Consider the following 12,635-nt stretch of genomic DNA (forward strand, 5'->3'; position numbering starts at 1 on the left):
GAGAGGATTATATAGCACTTTATTTTCTTTGTTTTTTAAAGTATTTACAGCAATATTAAAATTTTTGAGAAGCAGAATCTCTCGTGGGTAAATGTGGTTTTACATTTTTTAATAAAATATATGGTCTGGGTTAGGATATGTATGGTTTTGTTATTAAAATAATTCATATCTGCATTTTTAAAAAACCAGTCGCATTGAAAATTGGTAAAGGCTATCAGGCCAAGTGTTTCAGAAGTTGGATGTTGACTGAAGAGGTCTGTACTCTCCTTATTAAATGGTTTTAGGTAGACAGTCTTTGTTTCCTTGGGTTTCTAAATAAAGGAAGACAGACTAGAAGGCAGAAGTTTAGCTCCCAAAAGTATATAATGTGCTCTGTTCTCATAAACAGAGCAATTCATACTTACTGTCGGGTCGGGATGTGTGATTAGACAGCAGAACAAAATATTTTTAAATTGAGATTTGTGGGGAGCTTAGGGTCTTCTATTTGCCTAATTTTTTACAGAAAAAAATATTAATGTATGTTTACTGCAGATTTGTAAAATCATAATTGATTCTTAAAACCAAGTTGATTTTGATATGAGTAGTGTTTTGAGATTCTGCACATAAAGGGAGGGGATAAGGTGCAAGCTGTAATAAAAAACTGTCATAAGGCTATTTATTTACTTACTTAATATGATGTTGTAACAGTTTGTATGTGACAGTGCTTGATTTCTGGCGAGCTGTTTGTAAGTTTGGCATCACCTTTATTACTCCAAGCATCGGATCTAGGAGTCAAAGTTACCCCGGTTCACTAGTGATTGGCTGAGCAAACTCAGTTAGGTTTAGAGCACCCAGTTGCTGTTAGATGACTGAACCTTAATGGTAAACTCCCTGCCTGTACATATTCTTGTTTAGAAATCCTTGGCATGTATTGATGATACCTTTCATAAGACTTTTTCCTAATAAAGCATCTTTTTAGACTGTTATTAAAACCAAACAATGAATAAAAATGGTGTAGTGATTCTTGTAAAAAGTACACATGCCGTTCCCTATGGAGGATTAGTGTAAAGGGCACCATTTGTTATGTGTTCCTTTGATTTGGATTCAGAATTGACATCATTGGCAACTCTGTATATTATTAAGCAATTTCCTGTGTCCCAAGAAAGCTAGGACAGTCAATAATTAATAGAGTGCTCATCTTCTGCTTGCGGCTCTCACACTGTGCCTTTGTGCCCATAGTGTGCAGTCACCTATTGGACCTCTAAAAATTGCCACTAAAATGGTTGTTAGTAAAATGAGAAGACCTAAATCTGTGATTATTACTCTTAGTCCATGGTTTAAGTTAACGTATCTCCCTCTTTCTCATCTAGAACAACTCTGCTCATGGTGATTACATGCAAAATAACGAGAGCAGCTTAATAGAGCAAGCTCCAATACCTCAGGACGGACTTACCGTGGCACCTCACAGAGCTCAGCGAGAAGGTATGCTCTCTTTTTTGTAAACTTAAAGCATTAATACATCAAAAGATTACAGGGTGCTCTTTACGCTGATTAACTCTAAACTTTTTACTCTCCTTTTTGAAGTGGAGAAGTCCTACTGGTCCTAGGCTTCACTCAAGAGCCAGTCCTCCTAGTTCTGCCATCTGCACGCTGGGTGTTTCCTGCGCCACAGCCCTGCTTGTCCTAGCACGCACACAGTCATTCTGCTCTGTAGTCCATTGTCTTGGCTGAATCTTAAACCTGGTTGCATGCTTCTGGGGGGCAGAGACCCCCAGAGTATTTAGTATAGTGCTTTATTTGCAGAATTGAGCTCAGTGTCTACTGAGAAAATGAATTTTATACAAGTTCTCTGGAAGAGTAAATAAGTTACTTACAAATCCATTCTTCCTGCAATAATGCAGTTTTTAAGAGGGCTGGAATGAATGGGTGGAAGGACATTGCCATCTGAACAGGAATGAATTCAAATTATTCTTTCCTCTTTGCATTTGGGGAGCCATTAACCTGTGCTGGGAGAGAAACTGAAATGGAAAATGTAGACTGCCATCTGGGCTTTAAAAGAGCCAAGGATATATGATAAGCTTCACACTCAGTTATAACAATTTTGAATTTATGTCATTATGTCTCCTTTTTTTTTTTTTTTACCAGTAATAATCCTTTTTGTGTAATACATTTTTCCTCACAGAGGAAAAATAGGTCTGAATTTTTAATGTTGAACATAAGTGTTTATATAATGACCACTTCTATTCAAGACGATCACGGTACTCCTATCTTCCCAACTAAAGTACTTTAATCAGACTACTTCAGCTAAACTCATTGAACATACGAATAACCTGAAGTGGAGTTGGTTTTACAATGAAGGTCCTTTTTTTTAATAAAAATATTTTAGAAGAACGTAGAGATTATATCAAAATGCTGACAATTAACTGTAAAGGTGGTACTGTAGATTATTTTTCTTGTATTCCTACTTCTTAAAAAGTGTAATACATGCTTTTTAGTTTTAATTTATGAGGGTTGGGGGTACTTTCACTATGGCCATTCCTCATCACATACTCCTGTCTTCTCTTACCTTGATTCTGGTAGCCAACACCAGACAGAACTTGAAATTATCACTGAAGCTGTGTTCCCATGTCCTGTAATGTCATAGTGGCTTTTTCTGCTAAGCAAAACTGGGTTCTGACCAAACAAAACCCAAGATCCCCTACCCTTGAGGGGACCAATGATTTGCAGAAGTAGAGCTGCTTTATTTCTGAATATAAGATTAGTTCAGAAGATTTTTGTTGAATGGCGTCATCCTTTAACTTAATATAACAGCTTTTGGAAACAGCATACCCTCCCATCACCACTTTGGCTCTTATCCTATTGCACAGTTCTAAGGAGTTACAGGCTTTTGCCTGGCTTTTTGAGATTTTCCGTTGTTTCCATCCTCAACATTTCTGGCCCGCAAAGGGGAAACTGGCCCACAAGCAGGCCACCAAACACTATATATTTGGGAAGTTGACACAAAATACTGGTAATGTTATATCCTTTGTTTATTATAAGTGTCTTTTCCCCTGTGTATTTCTGTATCTTATGCTTCATGCCTTCTCACTGCCCACCTTCCGTGGTCTTTTAACAGTCTTACTCCTCCTCTATGCTTTTGTCACTTTGTGTATTCCACTTTGTCTATTTTAACTTCTTCCTCTAAGGCAAAATGAATGAATGCCCCTTTTTTCCTCCATCTCCTGCTCTCCTGAATCCAACAGTGTACCCCCCACACCCATTCTGTTGAGTTACTTTCCTAACCTCTTCTCTGTAACCTTTAGCATATTCATTATCAGCCTGATATTACCTCCCTCATTATCCTGAAAGTGTGGTTTCTTCTGTTCATACCCTGAACAGCAGTGTCTTTAAGTCCTTAGAGTAGAGTACGCTTTGTAGATTGGCTCTTTTGAAATTGATTTATTTCCTAAGGTGGTACTTTTATTAAAGGTGTCGTAAAATGGATAGTTGGGGGATTTATACATTTGCTTACTTCATGAATAAACTGATTATCTAGTTCAATTCAGAGTGTTTTAAAGTTTAATATAATTTATGTTTACTATTTTATCTCTGTAATGTAAAAAAATTTTGCCACAATGAACGTTTATTATAATGTTCAGTTTATATTTATCATTATATGATATTGAGGGTTACATTTGAGACAAATAATTTTTAAATTCCTCAGCTTGGTATATTACTTTTGAGTAGTTTTTTAAAAAAATTAAATGTAAAACTAGATATTTTGTAGTTTATACCTACTATGTATTAATAATTGAAAGAACCATATTTAGTTGATATTAAAATGCCGTATTTGTGGTAATCTGAATAACAAGTTGGAAGATTATCATTTGGAAAAATATTTTAATTGCAGGTACCTTTTATTTTTATCCTTAAAATCTTTGGTGTTAATAGAGTGTTTGAATTTACTTAAACACTCAGCATGTCGTATGGGTATAGAAAAAAATTTTTTTCATGGGTGGATGGCACATTGCTATGCTTCTAGTTTTTTTGTCTTCTTTTTTTTTATTTCATGATTTAAGACCAGTCATAAAGATGAAAGTGAGTAGCTTAATTGTTAAGCACTTGTCAACTTTTAGGGTTACTTTAGGTAAGTGAAATGTGTCTATAGTCTTTGTAGCACAAGTCACCGTGTGTTTTTTTTCTTTCAGCTGTACACATTGAGAAGATAATGTTGAAAGGAGTCCAGAGAAAAAGAGCTGACAAATACTGGGAGTACACTTTCAAAGTAAGCCATTTTCCCCACAAAAGATACCTCACGTGCTGTGCTCAATGATCTTTGGGAAAACTTGTGGCAGGTTTGCTAATTTAAGGGAAAAGGTATATATGTTTGTTTTTAATTAAGAGAATGTACTGTTTTTTATCATATACTACTGCATGGTTTGCCAAGTTTTTTTGAAGTTACATCACATTAAAATAACCCTGGCTATTTTATTAAAAAGAAGTAAGAGCCTTAGATTTAGGGACGCAATTAAGATGTAAGATACATCTTTAAAAATGCCATTGTGTTTTAAGTCAAGATCACAGGCATTGTCTTTCCTGGCATTGTTCTCCCTGGTATTTTCCTCCTCCTCTTTGTTCTCTGTGACGCTTTTATTGCCACTGCATTGCCCTGTCTTCTTACCCATGATTGGTTTTGGTGCCCGTCCTTTCCACAGCTGGGATTAGCTGTAGAGCCCAGCTCTGATTCTGTGCTCCCAGGTGAAGACTTTGCATGTCTTCTTCTTGCCCGTCAGCTGTATCGGGAATTCCTTGTCCACATCTTCCTTACTTCTCCCTGCTTGAGCTACGCCTTTTCTCCTCAGGTTGGATGGCACGCACCCTGAAGCCAGGTGGAACCATGCCACGTTTTTGTGAATCCTCACTTCAGTTCCTCTCCAAAGGCATTGCTTGCCAAATTTTGGCTGTCCCTCTCTCATGGAGTTATTTCTGACCCTCCACTAGAATGTTTTCTCCTTCATCCATGATACTCTGCCCTCGTACCTTTCACAGATCTTTCCAGTAGATATTCTCATGGAGAGCAGGAATCTTCATTCTTCATCCTCAGCCATCCCACCACTTGCTCGTTGAATGAATTTCCAAACTCCAGCTTTGCTTTAAGGGAGAAAGATCCTCAGTTTGCAGAATTTCAGCCCTCATCTCCTGGTGTCTTACTGCGGCATGCGTCTCGCTCTTTACTCTCCACGCTCAGTCAGGCTGGCCTCTTTTGCTGCTGGAGCTCACAGCTTGCCTTCCTAAAGGCTTCACTGTCCTCTTGCCTGAAATGCTCTTCCCCCATTTCCCCAGACCGAGGACAGGCCACCTTCTGGCTCTAAAGCTCCCTCCTCCGAGATCCTTCTTGACACCCCAGTTCATGTGCATCTCTCCGTTCTTGTACCATGCCCTATGCGTTTTCTTCAAAGCACTGATCACTGATGGAAATTCTTATATATTCACTTGGCTTTGATCTATCTCCTGCACTAGCCTGTGAACTCAGTCAGCGGAGACTTAACTGTCTTGTCCATTTCTGCATCCCTGACACAAGAGTCAGAACAGTGCCCAACACAAGTAGCTGCTCCACAAACATTTGAATACTATCACTTAAGAAATGTAATGTGCCAGTAAAGTAAATAAATGTGCCAGTTAATAAAGATACCAATTTTAGACTTGTAGATAAAATTTTATGTATTTTTTAACTATCTGATTACTTATAAGTTGGTAAGGCCTAGACAGTAGCATAGTGCAAATATTTATTTAGCTCAAATAATTATAGGGTAGAAATTTTTAGGGGGCCACAGTTGAGTCCACATGAAAAGCATCGAGGAGGTAGTGGGTATGGGGTAGCACAAGAGATGTCAGTTCTGACTCTTGCAACCTACTTAGAGTCACACACCTCAGTAACCTAACTTGTTTGAACTTAAGTTTCTCCATCTCAAAATGGAAGTCATCATACCTGGCCCTAGCATCTTAATAGGATTTTAAAGATTGAGATAAAGATGAAATCTCTTCGAACCATAAATTCCATAAAAATATGAAATGGTACTACCAAAGAAGGCAGTAAACTCTAGTTATTTCCCTTAAGGGTGTATACCTAGTAAGTTTCAGGAGATAGAATTTTTATCTTTTGAGTGGCAAAGATTTGTACTGTCAAAAGTGTCATTTTAGAGTTCTATAAGTTCATAGAAAATAACATATATCCCCTTTCTGAAAAATTACTAAACATAATCACATTTTCAGATAGGTTTTAAAAAGTGCCATTTTGAAAAGAGTTATTAGAACGTTTTTGAGTAGCGTATGTCAATGTGCAGTTAATTTTACTAATTTTGAAATTATGACAATGCCAGATTAACTTTATATTTCTAACTGTTAATCTTAGTAAAATTTAAGTAAGGCCCTTTGTTTTTGCACATGGCTTTTTTCTAGCCGGTTCCTGCCTAGGGAATAACCATATAATATGTGTGTTTTTTTTAAATCAGGTAAATTGGTCTGATCTTTCAGTCACAACAGTAACAAAAACCCACCAAGAACTACAGGAATTTCTACTGAAGGTAAAATATAGATTTTGTTGTTAAAATGATTTTTATATAATATACAGAATCCAGAAACCTCAACGTCAAAAAAACACCAGGAAAATTAAAACATACAGATAAAGGTTGGCTCAGAACTCTAAATGAACATTAGCTGTGGAAAACGTCATGTTATTCTAAAAATGTTTTCTTACCTGACATTACCAACATAAGGAAATGACGAAGGGATTTCTACATTTAAAAAAAATGGAGACCGGGTGCGGTGGTGTGCACCTGTGATCCCAGCACTTTGGGAGGCCAAGGCGGGAGGATCATGTGAGGCAGGATTTCCAAGACCAGACTGGGCAACTTAGTGAGAACCTATCTCTATTTGAAAAAAAAAAAGGAACCCTGTTCCTAGTTTCCTGCAGAGATGTGCGTCATTGGTGGCTGCTTGCAAAGGGACTTCTTAGTAGAGAATGTGTCTGCAGAACCAGATGAGGCTTGCTTCTGCTTGGTGGGAGTTCTCAGACTTCACAACTATTCAGCTGTGCACTTCCCTGAAATAGTTCTCCATTTCTTCCTTCTTTGAGTTCCAGCTCCTCCCCACCTCACCCCCCATATGATAGAATCTCCAAACTACTGGGAATAAGAAGATAATAGAAACATCTTATTACAGACTTGCCAGAGGTGAAAGGTATCTTAGATCATTTTGTTCAAACCATCACCTGTTTCTTTTATACTAATCTGATTTTATCGAAAAGTGAATAGTTAGAAATACATATCAAAAGGAGAGAATAGGTATAAATGGTTGATAAATTATTCTTTCTCAGTAAGCAAATATTTTAAAATTTATTGTTAGTAGAGAGATAAAGCAGAAAGTCCAGAAACAAAACATTCCCAACTGACTTACTAAGTTTTGGTTACAAGTGTAGTTATTAAACATATAACATACGATATTATGAGGCTAGTGCTAGTTTTAGGTTGTCTGCTTGTCACCATAAGTGTGTTCTTTTCAGATCATTCTTAAATCTATGAGAGACTTTTATTCATCAACTTGTAGAGCTTTGAATAGCACATTAGATGCTGGTTCTTTGAGGAAGACTGTCAAAGTGTGAATTCCACTGGATTTCTTATTAGTCCCTGTGAATGAAGTAGCACCCAGGGATGACTTGAATAGTTCCATCTTCCTGTGGTTTATTATAAATTAGGCTCTGTCAGTTAAGGGCTGAGGACTTCTCCTCCCACTCATTAGTGACCTGCCTTGGGTAAGATTAGGGGATGAGTTTTACTCATTTCCAGATGCTAGAGGCCACTGCCTGTGACATGTCAGCTCTGGACACCTTGGGGAGAGAGATGGCATAGGTCTGTGAGCTTCTGTCTGCTGTGCTCAGTCATGGTAACAGTCGTGAGGGTGCCAGAGAAGAGTGGCCTAGACCGGGGCAGGCTCCATCTGCCAGGCAGTGCACCCCATTGGAGAAAATGAGTGCCTGAATGACGTTCTAATTACAGAGGAGGCTAAGCAGGGCTGCCTCACCCCACCGCCACACACTTTTACAAGCCCTTCTAATTATTTCTTTCTTTTCTCTCAATAGAAGAAATTTATCAAAATTTAGACAAGTGATCACGAACAGGCTTCATTTGGGTTAAGGAGTAGCCTGTTTTCATTTCCCTTCTGCTGTTCTTCCCACAACAGAATTGTGGGCGAGTTGCAGGAGTACAGAGCTGAGGCTGAAAAGCCTTGAAAAGGGGGGTTCAGACCAAGTGACTTGGTGCCAGTGTGCGTGTGGGGTCCTGCTTCCCTGTCCCTCATGCTGAGAGAGCATGCAGCTGACCCCCAGCTGAGGCCTAGTGCCTGGCGCATGGAGTCTGCCTTCTACTGGCTTTCCCTCTGGAAGCTTCAGCTGTTTGTGCCTTGACAGATTTCTTCAGTCGCCCATTTTTTCGAAAAGCTTAGCTGCTTTAAAACAAATACAACTCCAAATAAGTAATTCACTCTTCAGAATCATAGCAATTGATGAACACCCTGCTTAGCCAGTATTTGGATATAATGTTTTTCTCAAGTAGTATAAATGCCTCTCAGTTACATGAAATAATCTGCAACGTGTACTTCTGGAAACATACTGCCTATTGTATGATACTTTTCCAAGTTTACCTTATCCTTTTTTTCTTTTACCTTCTTTTTAACATCATCTACAAAAGTTCAGGAGCTGCCAGGTTCGGTGGCTCATGCCTGTAATCCCAGCGCTTTAGGAGGCTGAGGCAGGTGGATCATCTGAGGTCAGCAGTTCAAGACCAGCCTGACCAACATGGTGAAACCCCATGTCTACTAAAAATACAAAAAATTAGCCAGGCATGGTGGCGGGCGCCTGTAATCACAGCTACTCTGGAGGCTGAGGCAGAGAATCACTTGAACCCCAAAGGTGGAGGTTGCAGTGAGCCAAGATCATGCCATTGCACTCCAGCCTGAGCGACAAGAGCAAAACTCCATCTTAAAAAAAAAAAAAAAAAGTTCAGGAGCAAAATCTGTCCTTTGGACGATGTGTCCAAACGAACACCCTTTTTCTTCTGTAGACCCCATTGACCTGTACTTCTAGCTTGCTGTAGTGTGGAAATATGAGTTGGAGGTCAATATTTCAAGTCCTTTTTTCCCATACAAATAGCAGCCTGTGTCCTTTGCATTCTGGCCCCCTTCACCTGTTTTTGTGGGTTTGTTTGTTTTTTTTTTTTCTTTTCTTTTGAGACAGTCTTGCTCCATATCCCAGGCTGGAGTGTAAGTGTAGTGACACCATCTTGAGAGGTTCACAGCAACCTCTGCCTCCCCAGTTCAAGCTGTTCTCATGCCTCAGCCTTCCAAGTAGCTGGGATTACAGGCATGCACCACCACACCCGGCTAATTTTTGTATTTTCAGTAGAGATGGAGTTTTGCCATGTTGCCCAGGCTGATCTTGAACTCCTGAGATCAAACAATCCACCCACCTTGGCCAAATGTGCTGGGATTACAGACATGGTGTGGGCCACCATGTCTGGTCCCCTGTTTTTTTCTTCTTAGCAATTACAGCTGTCATTTCTCATGATCAGAATGTCTACTCTGTGCAGCCAGGGTTTTTGTTTCTTCCCTCACTGCAGTATCCAGGGTTCCTAAAACAGTGCCTGGGGCACAGTAGGAGTTTGAAAGTTTGCTGAATGATTTAATGAACAAGGGGTGCTACAAGCATTAGATTATCCGTTGGTCTCAGTGTATTTAGAGAGCAACTTTTGTAATAGCTAGGTACAAAAACCTTTCATTCCTCTGAACTAGTTCTGAGGCTGAGCTGGAGCTCTGGAGGTGGGAGGCTGGGTATGCTAGAACTAGGATTGAAAGGTGAGAAAATTCAAAACACGTGACTAGAATATAAAAGACATGATTTAAAACTGTATATATATATATATTTTTTTTAGCAAATGAGTCTTTCTTTAGGACTGCAAATATGCCCAGGAAATTAAAGATAAAAACCACTTGAAAATAAATCAGTTTGCTCATACTGATGACTGCTTACCTGCAGTCTGCCCAGCAACGTGAACAGTGTCACTGAACTGTCAATAGTTATACGCTGTTGCCTTCAGTGTTTAGTTCAACCATCAGTGATTTGGTAGTTGAAATAGACTTTTCACTGACACTGGTTTTCTTTGGCTGTGTACAGATATTCAGTATAAATTGTGTTTAAAATGGGTAGTAGGATATATGCCTGGTGTTATCAGTCTGTATTAAAATGCTAATATCAAAATATAAATATTGAAATGAGGGATTTCTTTGTTTGGAAAATGGAGGCTGGGTGCAGTGGCTCACGCCTGTAATCCCAGCACTTTGGGAAGCCACGGCCTGTGGATCATCTGAGGTCAGGAGTTCGAGACCAACCTAACCAACATGGAAACCCCATTCTCTACTGAAAATACAAAAAAAATTAGCCAGGGGTGGTGGTACACGTCTGTAATCCCAGGTACTCAGGAGGCCAAGGCAGGAGAATCCCTTGAACCCAGAAGGCAGAGGTTGCAGTGAGCCGAGATCATGCCACTGCACTCCAGCCTCGGTGACAGAGCAAAACTCTTAGAAAAGAAAATGGGTAGGCCAGGCGTGGTGGCTCACGCCTGTAATCCCAGCAATTTGGGGGGTCAGGGCGGGTGGATCACGAGGTCAGGAGATTGAGACCATCCTGACTAACACGGTGAAACCCTGTCTCTACTAAAAATACAAAAAATTAGCTGGGGGAGGGGGCGGGTGCGTGTAGTCCCAGCTACTCGGGAGGCTGAGGCAGGAGAATGGTGTGAACCCGGGAGGTGGAGCTTGCAGTGAGCCGAGATCGCGCCACTGCGCTCCAGCCTGGGCAACAGAGCGAGACTCCGTCTCAAAAAAAAAAAAAAGAAGGGTAGATTCAGACCTGGTGGTCAGAGGGCATGATTCCCACAGCGGGTGTGTAGAATGCCGACAGAGTCTTCTATCTGACCAGAAGGGACTTCATTCTGACAGAGCATCTTGATCTTGCAATCTACTGTACCCACAATGAGGAATGCTTTATGCTACCTTTGCTAAGTTTCTCATTTCTGAATTGACTCAAAATACTTACTTTTCAGAAGAAAATTTACTTCGGACTTCTCAAAGCTCAATATGTAAATCAACAATTTGTATAGATTTTTGTATTCCTGTGGCTTCTCAGATATTGTTAATGGTTCTACTCTGAATTTTAGTGAAAGTGCCAGTAATAGGACAGATTAGTTATCAAAAGTCAAATTTAAAACTGAATTTTTCAAAGACTTGGAAAGTTGGCTTATGAATAATCAATTTAGGAATTTTTTTAAAGTAAACTGGTTAAATTTTGTTTAAAACCTAAAAGTTTTATTGGCCAAGTGTTGATTTTTTTGTGGTTTCTAGCACATTGCTCTGAGGGCACCTCAATCACATGAGGCACCTCTGGCGTGTGGTTTTTATATAAATAAGTAATATTGAGGGTTTCTCACCCGTCTCTCATATTCAGTTCTTTATTTGCTTCATAGCACTGGTGATCTGACATTGCCTGAGAGTAAAACGTAAAACAGGAGGCACAAAAGTGCTAAGTGCAAAGGCAGAGATAACACTCCTTGGAATACTATTCCAGGGTAAAAATAGTACTAGCTATGCTGAGCAGAATCTTCACCTTAACTCGAGAACCTTAGCATGGGTGTCATTTCAGTGTGGTATGTGGAGCCAGAGTGTAAGGTCCATGCAGGCATCCTCCTGTCCCAGGAACATGCTGAATGCTGTGGGTCGCCCTGCACCTGGGGGAGCCCTGAGGTTCAGTCAGAAGATGGTGCATTTCCCAGTAGGAAAGGTCTGTGCTGCTTCATTATGGGGTCAGATGTTGTGAAGATTTGGAAAACAAACTGCTTTTGGGAAAATAATGAGCAGGAGGCATTAATCTTCATTTTATGCATATAACTTGTAACATCTTTACCAGTAAGTGAGAAACTTAACATTGGATATTGTGGTTTTTCTTTTCTAGCTTCCAAAGGAACTGTCTTCAGAGACTTTTGACAAGACCATCTTAAGAGCCCTGAATCAGGGTTCCTTGAAAAGGGAGGAACGGCGACATCCTGACCTAGAGCCCATCCTAAGGTAATGATTTACCTGACGCCTATCATAGCAGCATACACACAGGACAAAGGGCCGCTCCAAATGGGGTCTTCAGGTGGGGGAATCATAGAGATCCTTTCTCTGGCGTACTTCTTAAAATGGACATGTTATCCTTGTGCTATTTAGGTCTAGGCTCATAGTAAAAGATACCAAACTAGTTTCATCATTGTACTCTTCAGTTCTCTGATATCATAAAATTTAGTTGCTTCTGAAATATGCAGATATTGAATAAAGGCTCTTATATTCTTTATAAAATACTTATTGAAAGAGGCCTTTGTCCAAGAGCTCTACTTTGGAGAGATGTTTTATTTGTTTAAAGTTGTCAAGTGCCTGGGCTGGTGGGTGGGAGAGTGAAGGGCAGCCCTGCTTTCCAGCACCTGCTCTTCGTGGCTGTTACTCTCTTGGAGCCATGGTGCTGCCAGAGGTCAAGGTTTTGCCCTCGTAAGGTTGTTGGGCTTGTTGGGAAAGATGCGCTTAGATGAGATGAT

At 39.8% G+C, this 12,635-nt stretch overlaps 1 protein-coding gene across 2 annotated transcripts in view; it reads left to right on the forward strand.

Annotated features, from left to right (window-relative positions):
- The window catches only part of ZCCHC2 (zinc finger CCHC-type containing 2), a 63,705-nt gene that overhangs the window by 15,307 nt on the left and 35,763 nt on the right, over positions 1 to 12,635 (forward strand). For both annotated transcript variants that reach the window (NR_126534.2, NM_017742.6), the window contains exons 2-5: positions 1,350 to 1,461; positions 4,167 to 4,243; positions 6,471 to 6,542; positions 12,017 to 12,129. Coding sequence is in view for 1 of the 2 variants with exons in the window: in NM_017742.6 (NP_060212.4) it covers positions 1,350 to 1,461; positions 4,167 to 4,243; positions 6,471 to 6,542; positions 12,017 to 12,129 (374 nt within the window). In the remaining variant the exon portion in view is untranslated. The remainder of the gene's footprint in view (positions 1 to 1,349; positions 1,462 to 4,166; positions 4,244 to 6,470; positions 6,543 to 12,016; positions 12,130 to 12,635) is intronic.

Source organism: Homo sapiens, chromosome 18 (assembly GCF_000001405.40).
Source record: "Homo sapiens chromosome 18, GRCh38.p14 Primary Assembly".
Classification (NCBI taxonomy): Eukaryota; Metazoa; Chordata; class Mammalia; order Primates; family Hominidae; genus Homo; species Homo sapiens.